The sequence below is a fragment of the Homo sapiens genome, chromosome 22 (genome assembly GCF_000001405.40).
Source record: "Homo sapiens chromosome 22, GRCh38.p14 Primary Assembly".
NCBI lineage: Eukaryota > Metazoa > Chordata > Mammalia > Primates > Hominidae > Homo > Homo sapiens.
The window spans coordinates 38,709,565-38,724,623 of NC_000022.11; the positions used below are offsets into that span (position 1 = coordinate 38,709,565).

The 15,059-nt window shown below is 47.0% G+C and overlaps 1 protein-coding gene and 1 pseudogene across 9 annotated transcripts in view; one reads left to right on the top strand and one right to left on the bottom strand.

The window, feature by feature from the left end:
- Positions 1-15,059, top strand: part of GTPBP1 (GTP binding protein 1) — a 37,172-nt gene that overhangs the window by 3,621 nt on the left and 18,492 nt on the right. For 4 of the 9 annotated variants that reach the window (XR_937967.3, XM_011530537.3, XM_047441615.1 and 1 more), the window contains exons 3-6: positions 6,343-6,523; positions 7,064-7,436; positions 12,178-12,301; positions 14,733-14,847. Coding sequence is in view for 8 of the 9 variants with exons in the window: in XM_011530537.3 (XP_011528839.1) it covers positions 6,343-6,523; positions 7,064-7,436; positions 12,178-12,301; positions 14,733-14,847 (793 nt within the window). In the remaining variant the exon portion in view is untranslated. Of the gene's footprint in view, positions 1-535; positions 609-6,342; positions 6,524-7,063; positions 7,437-12,177; positions 12,302-14,732; positions 14,848-15,059 lie in introns of all 9 variants that reach the window. The other 5 variants (XM_047441614.1, XM_017029100.3, XM_047441616.1 and 2 more) reach the window with 2 other exon arrangements.
- On the bottom strand, positions 12,980-13,958 carry PRDX3P1 (peroxiredoxin 3 pseudogene 1; annotated as a pseudogene).

Here is a 15,059-nt window from a genome sequence, read left to right on the forward strand (position 1 = left end):
CAAGCCATAGTTAGGTCTAGAATTAAGCTTATTCCTGGGCAGCTGGAGGTCTTCCCTTCCAGGCCCTGTTTACAGATCCCATTGCGACTTATTTTCTGCTTAGCAGAGGACCTCCGTGATTCTTCTTGGTGTCAGCAGAGAAAAGATGCCCAGAATTCCTCTCTTGTCAGGCTCCTTGCCCCAGACCCTACTGACTATTTAGTCTGGATAGCTGGGATAACAGAGGTCGTCCTCTCTCCCCACTGGATCCTGTCAGACACATAGGCTTGTAACCATTCTGAAAGGGACTGGTTATTGTTCTCCAAGCTGCTTATTCCTTGTAACAGAACCTACTATTTTAGAGGAAGGCAGCCCTCACAACAATCCCAGAGTATATTATGGTTTCTTCCCCTGGTCACTCCTAGTTAGCAACTTCAATACAAGACCTGCTTACCTTCATCTTCATTATGGGATTATCTTTGCTGAAATGACAGCTGGGGTTGTTAACGATTATGAATTCAGCCCATACCAGCACTTGTCTCTGTCATCTTTGCAGGAAGCCCAGGTGGGCCTGGATGCATCATTAAAGAAACACTTTTCTTTGCTGAATGTAGGCTTTGTAAAGCCAGGTAATAATTCTTTTGTAGTTTGAGTTGAAGATTGAAGAAATCTCAAAATCATTCTTAAACTATTTTATACATATCTATTAAGTATCTTCTAAGGCCTGCCACTGTTGCAAAGCTCTTTTGGAAACTTAAAATCTGATCCCTGCCCCAAGGAGGAAAGATGGCATATACACAAATAACCTCCATGGGAAACAGTATTTGGAAATGTTGTAAGAGTGACATAAAGAAGAAGGATTTGCTCTCCAGATGCAGCTGTGCCTTCCTTTGAAATATCTTTCGTATCTGTTCTTTCCTTCCCATCCTTGCTGCTACCTCTCTAGTTGCGGGTCTTACCACCTAAAGGAAGGCATGGTCAGAGAGATAGGCAAACTAAGAGGTTGCGTATCAAGAAAGGGAGAGAGTTGATTAGCATTATCAAGTGCTACAGAGGCAGCAATGAATGCCAGGTTCAAAAAAAAAACATTCCATTTGTTGACTAGGAGATCATTGGTAGCCTTTTGAAGCTTTGATGTCAGGTACACATCTGGCCTGCTCTAATAAGATGAACCACTCAAAGATCACTTAATAATTGTAGAATTTCAGGAACCACATATAGGTCAATTTTGACAAGTGTTGAGTCTGTTTTTGAAGACCCAGATTCTTAAGACTCCTCTTTCCCCTCATCCTTTTATGTGGACTCAGTGAATTTTACCATGCCTTGACAACTCACACCCCACCCATGGCAATTAACCCACCCATGGCAAACCCACCCATGGCAAAGCGTAAGATGTCAGACATTTATTAACACATCTGTACACCCAAGCATCATCCTCGAATCCACCAGTTGGATGCTATTAGATTCATAGTGACTCCTCCTGCTGGAATTCTTTACAAATAGAAAGAGATCATAACTAGTTAAACAAGTTGAACAATAATCAGAAGACTAACCCAGATACACGGCCCCAAGGAGTCAGTTTCATCAGTGGTTTCCTTGCTGCTTCACCTCTGTTTATCACATCCTTTCTCTGTAAAATGGGAATAATGATACCTTCCTCATCCTACCTCAGAGAAATTTTGTATAGATAAATAAGACATTTAAAATTGTAACAAATGTAGAGGAATGTGCTCTTTAAGAATACATTCTTAATGTTGATATTTTAAAAGGGGGCAGTCTGGCCTAATCTATAGGATCTGGAACCTGGCAGGCCTGGATTTGCCTACTGACTCTTTTCCTTGTCTTAAAATGGGGATAATAATGGAATCTCTCCCATGGTGTAGTAGTGAAGATTAAATGAGAATTCAAGGAAATCATCGTGAATAGTGAGCATTACATAAATGTTAGCTAATATTAGTAGTTGCAGTAATAATTTTTTTAAGGGTCCCAGGTTGTAGTTGATTTATCATGAGATTTCTTTGAAAAAGAAGACTCATGCCTATAATCCCAGCACTTTGGGAGGCCAAGGTGGGCCAATCACTTGAGGCCAGGAGTTCGAGACCAGCCTGGCTAACATAGTGAAACCCCATCTCTACTAAAAATGCAAAAAATTAGTTGGGCGTGGTGGTGCACTGCTGTAATCCCAACTACTCAGGAGGCTGAGGCATGAGAATCACCTGAACCCCGGAGGTGGAGGTTGCAGTGAGCTGAGATGGCGAGAGTGAGACTCTATCTCTAAAGAAAAACAATTAAAAAAAAAAGTTCAGGGGACATAGGAGGAGTATTAAGTATTTTAAAATTATTATTATTATTTTTGAGACAGAGTTTCTGTCTGTCATCCAGGCTGGAGTGCAGTGGTATGATCTCGGCTCACTGCAACCTCTGCCTCCTGGGTTCAAGCAGTTCTTCTGCCTCAGCCTCCCGCGTAGCTGGGACTACAGGTACCTGCCACCACGCCTGGCTAATTTTTGTATTTTTATTAGAGACGGGGTTTCACCATGTTGTCTAGGCTGGTCTTGAACTCCTGACCTCAGGTGATCCCCCTGAGCCTCAAAGTGCTGGGATTACAGATGTGAGCCACCGTGCCCGGCCAAGGAGTACTAAGTCTTTGTGGAAGAGTCAGGAAAGGCTGTGAAGAGGAGCTGCCCTTTAATTGATTCTAAAGGATGAGTAGGAATTTTCCAGGTAAATGGAGGGAATAGTGAATGGGCAGAGGAAACCATTCTCACAGAGGCATGGAGGCATTGGAGACAGGAATATATAGTGGACCAAAAGTAATCCAGTAGGATGAGTGGAGAGTATGAGGTCCTGAGTGGTAGGAGGAGAGGCTGGGCAGAGGAAGGCAGGGCTCAGATTCTGAGGGTCCTTAAATGCCATGCCAAAGAGGTTAGACTTTTATTCTGAGAGTCTAGGGAGTCTTTGCAGCCTGTAGAAGAGGAGAATACATATAAGAAAAGTGAATGAGCCGGCAGGATGGAAATCTGATTAGCGTCTGGCATGGCTGAGTATGTGGCCTTTAGTAATTGGACCTCTGCAGCTTTTCTCCTCCACCTTTGTCTCGGCTTCCACAGAGTGAGGAATGTGATGCATGCTGGAGACGGGTAATGTGACTGACCGAGAGCCCTGATGGACAAGGTGACGTTGGTGATAGCCCTTGGTGTGGAACAGGACCTGAAAGAACAGGAGCAGGGGAGGTTGAATAGAATTTAGCCAGCCTTCTTAGGAACACTCCCAGCAAACCCTTCTCTAACCCTGAAGGCTTTCACAGCTCACTTTGCCGTGCATTTAGAAACTCCTCAGCCCAACCGCTCCCTCTTTGTTCATTTGTTTTACATTTTACAAACATTTGAGGAAAGGCACTGGTTGTGGGGCATCAGGAAATTGTTGCGGTATGTTCCTTGTTTTCAAGATGCTTATGTATTGTGCGGGGAGGGGAGGATGTGTATCCAAAACACTGTTGCACAAGGCAGTACATTGCAAATGTAAGGGAGACACAGACATTTGTGGGCAGAATGAGTAGGATTTTGCTAGGAGGAGGTGCGCTGTTGGGCTTTCAGGATAGGAAATCCATGAGCAAAGGTGTAGAGCTAGGACCCTGCAGAGAACCCCAGCACAAGGAAGGGGAGTGCTGTGTGTGTGATGGGGCCACTTGCACCATGACAGAGCTTACAAGAAGAAAGTGAGGAGGGAGTACGGCACAAATGGGGAGGCTGTTAAGCAGTTGGGCCTGGGGAGCCATTCATAAGCTTTGACTTGAAGTGACGGCGTCAGAGTTGTGCTTTATTTAGGACCTTAAGGGGTTGGTTGGAGGGAATAGAGACTGAATTTGTAAAGACAAAAGTTAAGAGTCTGTTGTGGTGGTTCAGGTAGAATAACAGCCTGAATCAGGCTGGTGGCTGCGGATTGGCAAAAAGGGCAGACATCAGGGAAGGAGGCAAGGTAAAATGCTAGAATCATCAGGACTGGACTGAGGAGACTGGTGGCTAGAGAGATGGTATTGTCATTGTCAGAAATAAAGAAGGAACTGGTCAGGCAGTAAGAGGAAAAGGCTCTGGTTTTGGAATCTGAAGACCTGAACTCATGGCCTCCCCCAAGCTCTGAGATCTCCCTAGGTTCTTTTTACCCCACTGTTAAAAGGGAACAGTAATGCCTACCTCATAAGATTACAGTGAGAAATAAAATGCTTTATTAACATTGTTAGTGTCTGTGCTGTTGTTTAAAAGAGGGTTGGGTTGGGTGTTGAGTTTGGATATCAGACTTCTAGGAGTTATCCAGGCAATTGGAAATTCAGTCTGGAGTTCTGGGCATAGGATGGTGTTAGAAATGAGTGTTTTTATAGTTTTCAAAATGACAGCCAAAGCCATAGAACAAGATGGCCAAGGGGAAAGTTTGGAGGAAACAGAACAGGGCCACTGACAGACTACTGGAAAAAACTGGCATTCAGGAGACAAGAGCGGGGGACGGGGTGGGGAGGCACATCAGGAGAGGTCAGGTGATGCGTGAGCAGGGTGGGAGGGAAGTGCTTCAAGAGGGAAAGGCTGAGTGGCCAGCAGTATCGAATGCTGTAGGAGTCAAGAAGAGGGCATTAGAGAGTTTAGAAGGCCACTGGTGGGCCAGGCATGATGGCTGACGCCTGTAATCCCAGCACTTTGGTGGGAGGCCAAGGCGGGCAGATCACTTGAGGTCAGGAGTTCGAGACCAGCCTGGCCAGCATGGTGAAACCCCGTCTCTACTGAAAATACAAAACTTAGCCAGGCATGATGGCGGGCGCCTGTAATCCCAGCTACCTGGGAGGCTGAGGCAGGAGAATCGCTTGAACCTGGGAGGCAGAGGTTGCTGTGAGCAAGGATTGTGCCACTGCACTCCAGCCTGGGTGACAGAGTGAGACTCCATCTCAAAAAAAAAAAAAAAAAAAAAGGCCACTGGTGGCATGTGACAACTGCGGTTTCTTCTGTAGTGGGCAGATTCCCATTGAGTAGATGGTGGGATAGTACAGTCAACACGCGTTGATGACTCTCGAGATGTTTGATGGTGAAAGGAAAAACAGGAGATGGTAGCTTTGCAGATAAGCAGGGGCAAGGGAAGGGGGGTGGTTTTCCTTTCCTTAGTTTAGGAGCTTGTTTGGAGTGGGAGGAAGAGAAGAAGAGACAAGGAGAATATTTGGTGCGGGGGAAGAGAGTCACACATGCTGAAGGGGTTAGCCAGCCAGGGAAGGAGCAGGGGTGCTCTCAGAGACAGGACAGCTGGGAAAGGCTGAGGGAGTGATTGTGGAAATTAAATCCAGCACCTCATGGAAAGCAGCTGACGGGTTGTCATATAGTAGGAGCTCAGTAACTGTTTGGTCGGTTGGTCCTGCCTTCTGTCTGATTCCCTTCCTTGTCCTGAGCTCAAACTCATTTCTCCAGCTGCTTGCTGGACATGTCACCTGAGCCACCTCAGTTAAAAATCTTATCTCTAAAATGTTTCTGAGTTCCTCCCCCATTTTCCTCCATCTTTCTGTCGTCATTATCTCTTGCCTGCATTATTAGAATTACTTCCTAACTGGACTCCCCCCTTACTGGTCTCTCACTTGCTGGTGCACACTTGGCACTGCTACTCAGGAGATCTTTCTAACCCACAGCCATCTGATCATGTTACTCCCCTGCCTCAGCCTACGGGTGTCTCAATGCCTGGTGCAGAAGGTGTGTCGCTGCTGTCCGTCTGTTGTGCTGCTTCCACCTCTCATGTAGTCTCCCGACACTCCATGTCACCCATGCTGCTCCTCAACACACTGAGCTGCTTCCTGGTCCCTGAACTTGCCATGATCTGCCACGCCACGCTTTGTTCCTCTGGCTAGGATGTCCTTCCTCCTTCTGCAGGCCCAGCACTTGTTGACCTAGCTTGGCATCAGCCCTTTGCAGAACTGTCCTCGGCTTCCCCAGGCAGTGCTTTATGTTCTCTTCACACAGTCCTAGAGTGCAGCACTTGAGCTGTATTGCAATTAATTAATTTCCTGTCTGCCTCCCCCACTGGGCTGTGAGCTCACTAGGGGCACCTGTAGTCCTAGTACCCAGCATGAGGCTTGGCATAAAACCTGGGAGAGCCTCGGTGGCTGTTGTTGAATGAAGTAGCGAATGCTCTGCTTGATGGAGAGGTCTGTGGCACTGTCATGTTTTAACTTGGTGTGTGCCCAGGTTTTCTCTCAGGTAGAGAGGACCCCTGTTCCTCTGCAGTGCTGGGGTCGGGGGGTGGTGGCCTTTGTTAGGTGGGGTTCCTGGCTGGCTGGTTGGCAGGCTGGTTGGTCAGGACTCCCTCTCCTGCTGATGTCTGGGCTCTTGTCACCAGATGGGACTGAGTATGGGCTGAGTGAAGCTGACATGGAGGCCTCCTACGCCACAGTGAAGAGCATGGCGGAACAGATAGAGGCCGATGTCATCCTTCTGCGGGAACGGCAAGAAGCTGGGGGCCGCGTGCGTGATTACCTGGTCCGGAAACGAGTAGGAGACAATGACTTCCTGGAGGTCAGGTGAGGAGGCCGCGGGACATTTTGGGGTCCCCATTCTTCACAGAGGTTGGTGACTGAGCCTGTGGCACTTGGCGTGTCAGCTCCATCCTTTCCCCTCCTGAGGCGGGGAAAGAGTGTCCAGGTGTCTGGAGACGTGGGCTCCTTGCTCTAATTCTGCACTTCCCTGTCACTTTGGGAAGAGCACGAGAGAGGCCAGCCGTGCATTCTGTGGCCATTCTCTGTGGGTGTGTTTCTTTTCCCTTCAGCCTGTGAGCCTGGAAACCAGGGTCATGGAGAAGAGCCTTTTGTGCCTCTGGTAGCCTTGCGGCTCTTCCTGGCAGCACCCAGAAGCTAGTGGGAGTTAAGGGAGATAGCCGCTGTGGGAGTCTGGGCCCTTCTGATGACTCTACAGCAGCAGCTCTAGGAACCTTCCCACTGTGCTCCTCCGGCTCAAGGAGGAGCTGTGAGCCGGAGGGGATCGGGGCAAGCCTGGACTTGCGGATCCAATTACTGGGGTTATGATGGTCGCTCCACCTCACTCATTCACTAACTCTCACATAGATGTATGGGTTCATCTACACGCAGGGTAGCAGTGGTGGGCAACGTGGATGCTGGCAAAAGCACGCTTCTGGGGGTCCTGACACATGGGGAGCTGGACAATGGCCGAGGCTTTGCCCGCCAGAAACTCTTCCGCCACAAACATGAAATTGAATCTGGTCGCACCAGCAGTGTGGGCAACGACATTCTGGGCTTTGACAGTGAAGGCAATGTAGTGAACAAGCCTGACAGCCACGGCGGCAGCCTGGAGTGGACCAAGATCTGTGAGAAGTCCACGAAAGTCATTACCTTCATCGACTTGGCTGGTCATGAGAAGTACCTGAAAACCACTGTCTTCGGCATGACAGGCCATCTGCCTGACTTCTGCATGCTCATGGTGAGTGGGAGGCGCCCCAAGGAGGGGAGGCGTCAGCAGGGCTGCTTGGGTCTGGTTATGTGCAAGTCTGAAACTGTTCTGAGACTGAGGCCTGTTGGTTTGGGGCTTTGACATCGGGTGAGGCTGGCGAGTTTTGCAGGGGTGCCCAGTCCTCTGAGTAATGGTCTTCTCAAGGCTTGAACCTTGATCTCTCCCTTACATTAGACTAGGGAAGGTATCCTCTTGGTAAAAACCAGGTACCCTTGAAGACCTGTCTTATTTTTTGCAGAGGCATAGAGGAGGGTTTCTCCTGGGCCTTACTTGTTACCTTCAGAAATGTTTTCTGCAGAGGATTGGGCTACTTTGAGGAGGTGACACCAGGTAGGTAGTACCTTCAGAGGGGCAGGCCTGGGGAAGAAACGGAGAAGACAGCCATAGGAGGCACAGGCCACAGTCGAGAGGCCCTGAGAGGTGGCCTCCTGGAGCCTGGGAGGAGGATCGGCCAGTGCACAGCCCTTGTTGAGAGGCTCCTGTGTGTCTGGTACTATGTGAGGTCTGATGATACAGCAATGAACAGGGCTGTCCAGAGGCTCCCAAAAAGCTTAGGGTCGAGCGTGATTAAATTTTTAAGCAGCTATTCCTGCTCGGAACATTAAAAACAACCAAAAAGTGTTTAAGCAGCTCATCTAATAGATTAACTGAGAAAGAAAGGGAGCAGAGGGCTCTGTGTTGGATCTCATTGCTAAGCTTGCCTTTGTGACCCACTGATCTTCCTCCCTGGACAGACAGTGGGAGTGCTGAGGGGAGCGGCAAGGCCTGTAACCTTGTGCACATCTCCACAGCTTTCACAGCAGGAGTAAGGAAGAGGGAGGGCGGGAAGGGACAGAGTCAGAGACACACATGCCTCGAGTGTTCCCTCGGCAAGGCCTTCCCAAAACCCTTCCCCATTTCTCGATTCCTTCAGCTGCCTGTATTAATAAATGTAGTAAACATAAGCATCTGTTCATAGCAAACTTGATCAAGTTGCTGCACAAACACAGGTTCTCAAGCAAATTCTCCCTAAACTGGAGAGCAGTAAAGAGAGGCAGAGCCGTGTGAACACTCGTAGGCTCTCTGCCTGAGGCTTTTGGGACCTCAGCATGCCTTCATTTCCCATTTCCTTCAATGTTGCAAAGGGCCATGACCAGCTTCTTGACTGGGCTGAGGAAAGCTGCTTGCCAGGAAGGGATCTTAGTGGAAGATCCAGAGGGCGTATTTAGGGGAGTTGTTGGGTTGATATTAAGAAGGGTATAGAAACTGGTTGAGAATAAGCATTTTTCCAGCTGAGCTACAGTGAGTAAGACCAATTAATGGAAATATCTTCACCCTGGACAAAATGTTACATATATATTATCTGACTTTTTGGTTGTGATCCAAATGTTAACCTTTCTGTAGAAAACAATGAAATATTTCATTATAGTCCCATGGCATTTGACTTCTAGGAAAAAATATTTAAAATATATAGAAAACAGCCGTAGAGCACTCTCTTCTCCAGGTTGGGAAGAGCAAAAGCAAGTCTGCATTGGGTTGGAAAGGTGGCCGAAGGGCACAGGAAGACGTCGGGAAGACTGTGGAAGTGTCCTGGTGGAGGGAGAGGGAAGTGCCAGCTGGGGTGACTCATCTAGGAGCCATGGAAACTCAGTGGGCGTCTCCGTGACACACTGGAATGGATAGGGCACTGTGTAAACACATCATGGCAGCTTTTCTTTCAAATTTTCTTCTGGTTTAGTATGGTACAAAATTGTGAAAAGTTTCCTCCCAGAGGCAACCAGTGTTTCCAGTTTCCTGTGTACCTGCCAGAGATATTTTGTACTCAGATCAGCAAATGTGTATATGTTCTCTCCCTCCAATTTTAAACATTCAGAAAAGGTGAAAGAATAGTATAACCAATACCATAAATCCACCACTTAGATTTAGCAATCATTAACATTTTGCCATATTTATGTGTCTATATGGTGGGTACATATGTGTATATATGTTTTTTATTTATTTTAATTTTTTTTTTGAGATGGAGTCTTGCTCTTTCGCCCAGACTGGAGTGCAGTTGTGCAATCTCAGTTCACTTCAGCCTCCGCCTCTTGGGTTCAAATGATTCTCCTGTCTCAGCTTCCCGAGTAGCTGGGATTACAGGCACGTGCCACCACACCCAGCTAATTTTTAGTATTTTTAGTAGAGACGAGGTTTCACTATGTTGGCTAGGCTGGTCTGGAACTCCTGACCTCCAGCAATCTGCCCACCTTGGCCTCCCAAAGTGCTGAGATTATAGGCGTGAGCCACCGTACCCAGCCTGATTTAATATTTTTTAAAGAGACAAAGCCTCACTCTGTTACCCAGGCTAGAGTGCGGTGGTGCGACTGTAGTTCACTATAACCTCAAACTCCTGGGCTCAAGGGATCCTCCCATCTCAGCCTCCCAAGTACCTAGGACCACAGGCGTGCACAACCATGCCTGGCTAATACTAATTTTTTTAGAGACGAGATCTTGCTATGTTGCCAAGGCTGGTCTCAAAACTCTTGGCTTGAAGTAATCATCCCACCTTGGTGCCTCCCAAGGTGCTGGGATTACAGGTGTGAGCCACCGTGCCCAGCCAAGTATATATGTTTAGTTTGGTTTTTTTTTTTTGTGGCTGAATCACTTAAAAATAGTGGACATGTCTTCATCCCAGACAAAGTCACAATGTAGACATTGTGACTTTTCACTGCTAAACACTTCAGCATACAGCTCCTAAAAGTGAGGCCTGTCTCCTACTGTTTTTACAATCAAGAAAATGAAGAATAGTTACCTAATATCCTCAAATATTTAGTCTGTATTTATATTATTTCAGATGTTTCCCAAATATCTTTCAGCTGCTTTTTTTAAGCCATGAATCAGTCACCAGTTATCCCCCACTGCCTTTTATTTTCTTTCTTTCTTTTTTTTTTTTTTTTTGAGACGGAGTCTCGCTCTGTCGCCCAGGCTGGAGTGCAGTGGCGCGATCTCAGCTCACTGCAAGCTCTGCCTCCCGGGTTCATGCCATTCTTCTGCCTCAGCCTCCCAAGTAGCTGGGACTACAGGCGCCCGCCACGATGCCCAGCTAATTTTTTGTATTTTTAGTAGAGACAGGGTTTCACCATGTTAGCCAGGATGGTCTCGAGCTCCTGACCTCATGATCTGCCCGCCTCGGCCTCCCAAAGTGCTGGGATTACAGGTGTGAGCCACCGCGCCTGGCCTTTATTTTCTTTGAGATGGAGTCTCACTCTTGCCCAGGCTGGAGTGCAATGGCGCAATCTTGGCTCACTGCAACCTCCGCCTCCTTGGTTCAAGCGATTCTCCTGCCTCAGCCTCCTGAGTAGCTGGGATTACAGGCAACTGCCACCACATGCAGCTAATTTTTTTTTTTTTTGTATTTTTAGTAGAGAAGGGGTTTTCACCATGTTGGCCAAGCTGGTCTCGAATTCCTGACCTCAGGTGATTCACCCACCTTGGCCTCCCAAAGTGCTGGGATTATGGGCATGAGCCACCATGCATAGCTGAACACTCACCTCTTTTTATGATAGCATTCTATATGCAACTTACTTTTTTTTTCCCCTTAAAAGCATATTTTGGAGATTAGTCCATATCAGTAGATAAAAATTTCTTCTTTTGTACAGCACATTTCATACACGTGCCCTGATTTATGTAACCAGTCCTTACGGTGATATTTGGAAACATTTATTGTTACTGGAAGGATAGTAATAGTAATAACAGGTGCAATTGCTTAAACACCTAGTTCCTGCTAGTTGTGTGCTGGACACTTCATGTGTGTTGTGACATTTAAACATCAAGTGACCCTCTGAAGTGGATATTGTTATCTCCCCATTTTACAGATGGGGAAACTGAGGGCCAGTGATGTTAAGTTGAATCCACTTTTTGTTGTTGTTGTTTATGAGACACAGTCTCGCTCTGTCACCCAGGCTAGAGTGCAGTAGCTCGATCATGGCTCACTGCAGCCACAACCTCCCAGGCTCAAGTGATCCTCCCACCTCAGCCTCCCAAGTAGCTGAGACTACAGCGTATCCTGCCACACCCAGTCAATTTTTCTTTTTTTTGTAGGGTGGGGGAAACAGAGTTTCGCTCTTGTTGCCCAGGCTGGAGTGCAATGGCACGATCTCGGCTCACCACAACCTCCACCTCCCAGATTCAAGCGATTTTCCTGCCTCAGCCTCCTGAGTAGCTGGGATTACAGGCATGTGCCACCACGCCTGGCTAATTTTGTATTTTAGTAGAGACAGGGTTTCTCCATGTTGTTCAGGCTGGTCGCGAACTCCCGACCTCAGGTGATCCGCCTGCCTTGACCTCGCAAAGTGCTGGGGTTACAGGAGTGAGCCACCGTGCCCAGCCTTAATTTTTGTATTTTTTTGTAGAGACGGAGGTCTTACCAGGTTGTCCTGCCTGGTCTCAAACTCCTGGCCTCAAGTGATCTGCCTTCCTTGGCCTCCCAAAGTGCTGGGGTTACAGGCATGAGCCACTGCTCCTGACTTGGATTCATTTTGATGGCTCAGGACAGTTGTTTCCCTGACTGGGTTTATCTTTTTTATTGTTTGCAAGTCTCCTCCGATTTTGACGCCCCACATCATCGAGTCAGGGGTTAACGTGATTTTTGCCCAGCCCAGCTTTCATCCACATCTGCTTTTGAGCCCCTGTGTCCACCCAGCAGCAATCTCTTTCTCTCTCGTCCTGACACTTCCTTTCTGTGTTGGGGCAGGTGGGCAGCAATGCTGGCATCGTGGGGATGACCAAAGAACACCTGGGCTTGGCACTGGCACTCAATGTACCTGTCTTTGTGGTAGTCACCAAGATTGACATGTGTCCTGCCAACATCCTGCAAGGTAAGTGAAGCCTCCAGCTAGCAGCAGCCCCTCTGATTGGGGCTGTCACCTGCTGTGCCTTCAGGTGGTCTGCTACCACGGCTTTAGCCCAGAAACTTCTTTTCTTTTTTATTTTTATTTTTTTATTTTACAATATGTTTATTTTTATTATGTGCTCTACATTGAACACTTCAGCAAAGAAAATAATTATAATAATTTCAAAATGCAATCCCTGGATCCAATAACTATCCTTTATAATCCGTTACACTGGTCAGTATCTAGAAATATATGTAGACAAAGTTAGCTAATGAATAAAATAAGTAAAATGACTAGGTAAACTATAAATTTCAAGCATGAGGGATCATGCATGATCAGTTAAGTCACTCTGCCACTTTTTAAAATAATATTCACATTTGCTTCAATCACATAAACATTCATTGCAGGAGTTAAATTTGACTGCTGATAACAATTGAAAGCTGTGATCTTTGTTAGCTTAAAAGAAAATTCAGCTTAATACAAAGACATTCAAGATGAAAATTTCAGGACCCTTGATCAGAAGCTTTCAATGTGTGTTGCTCCACTTTGTTGTAGGCAAGCTTCAAGTAAGGCTAAGACAGAAGAGTGTTTCTACTGAAGATGTGATCTAAGAATTGCCTTCTACAGAGGCGAATTATATTCTGTAGAAACTAGCTAGCCACCAAGATGTTACCAATAAAGGATTCCTTATACTAGCAACTAACCATGTTTAAAAGGCCTTAGCCATTTAGAGTAATATTTATGAGTACAAGCATAATTGGTTCCTTGCCTTCTACAGATAATCATCTATAAAATGATAAAAGCAGGCTTCAACTGTGTTTCTTCTCTGGGGTGAGAAGGTGCAGATACACATGGGTGATCTACTGATTTACCTTCTGAAAGTACTCTTTGGAAGCAGCTGGATTTGGCTTGATTGTAGGAGAATCCAGTGTCCAGTTTGCTGGGCAGACTTCTCCATGGGTTTCTACATACTGGAACGCCTTCACCAAGTGGAGGGTTTCTTCCACGCTTCGGCCCACTGGGAGGTCATTGACGCTCAAGTGCTTGATGACTCCATTGGGGTCAGTTATGAAGAGACCTCTTAGTGCAAGACCAGAACCTTCTAACAGCACACCGTAGTCTCAGGAAGTTTGCTCAAATCTGACAAGAGTGGGATGTTCATGTGGTCCAAACCACCATTATTTCTTGGTGTATTTATCCAGGCAAGATGACTAAAGTGGGAATCCACTGAGACCACAACTTCACAGTTCACATCATGAAATTCCTTAGCTTTGTCACTAAAAGCAACAGTTTCTGTAGGACCACGAAGGTGAAATCCAAAGGATAGAAGAAAAGCACCAAATTATTTCCCCTTAAAGTCATCAAGGCTTAGGTCTTTGAACTCTCCATTGACAATGGCTGTACCCTTAAAATAGGGTGCATGCTGGGCGACAGCAGGTGCATGGTATGAGGAGCTGGTGCTAAAGAATTTTGCTTGACTGGAACCAGACCATAATATGTTTGTCAAGCTCGTTCTTCCAGAAGCAGCAAGCTTGAGGGCTGCAGTGGCAGAAATGCCCCAAGGAATGGCACTCACATGTCGGGCAGCCGATGCTCAGAGTAGCCTTCCCACAGCAGCTACCATCTTCAGTGCACGCGGGCGAAACTTCCTTTGTCTTGTACTTAGGTCTTGGCCTGAATTTCCATCAGCCCAGAATCTTCTGCTACTTCCTCCCCTATTTAGTTCTTGGTCTGAACACAGCCTAGAATTATCCTCTTCCTTGTTCCTTCTGGTTCCAAATGCAGAAATCTTGAGATCCTGAATCTGGCACCTCTTTTCAGGTGACCCCAGGCAGAAGGAGTTGGGCTCTACCAGCTAAGCTGGATATATACGGGGAAGTTTGGACAGAGGGTCTGATTACCTTTTGCCACCAAAGCTTTGACACAGGGTTGCAGGACTAAGCCTTCATGCCTTTCTCCCTCACTGCTAAAGATTGTAGAAAAGTATCCCTTTGGGAAGCCTCATAATAAGGGTCTCTGTAGACTTCTAAATGTCTAAGAGATCCTTTTTGTTGGATGAGATTTTTTTCCAGGAAGTAGTGCATTCTGAGAACTGAAGTGTGAAGTGAATTGTTTTTCTTGGGGACCCTCAAGTCACATGCTTACAGGAGGCAGGTCGTCTAGACACAAGAGAAATCTGCCAGGTTTCAGACGCAGAACCCTAGAAAAGAGGCCCCATCTGTGCTTTTCTTACTCTAGCAGCACCCAAAGTTTTGATCCTCCTTTTTGCTTCTCCAGGCATTGTGGCATTTAACACTGGTCCATCTATCTGTCTGTCTCCTGCTTGCATCAGTAATGAGTGGACCCATCTTGCTCTTAAAGCCTGGCCAAAGAGAAGGCTGTGTCCCCCTAATTCTGTTCCATTGCACCCTTTAAGAAACCCTGAAGCTGTTACAGCGCCTGCTGAAGTCACCAGGCTGCCGGAAGATCCCCGTGCTGGTGCAGAGCAAAGATGATGTGATTGTCACAGCCTCCAACTTCAGCTCTGAAAGGTAACGCGTGGGGAGCGCACACTTCAGACAGGCACCCTTGCAGGCAGGACCACAGTGAGTGATGGGCCTGGAATGGCTGTCAGTTTGGGCATAAGGTCTCATGAAAACACCACATCAACACCTCTCCCTATTCAGAGATCGGAGGAAATAGAAGCTTCCAATCTTAGCGCAGGGTCTCCCAAGCCAGCATTGTTGCCCAGGGGTAATATCAC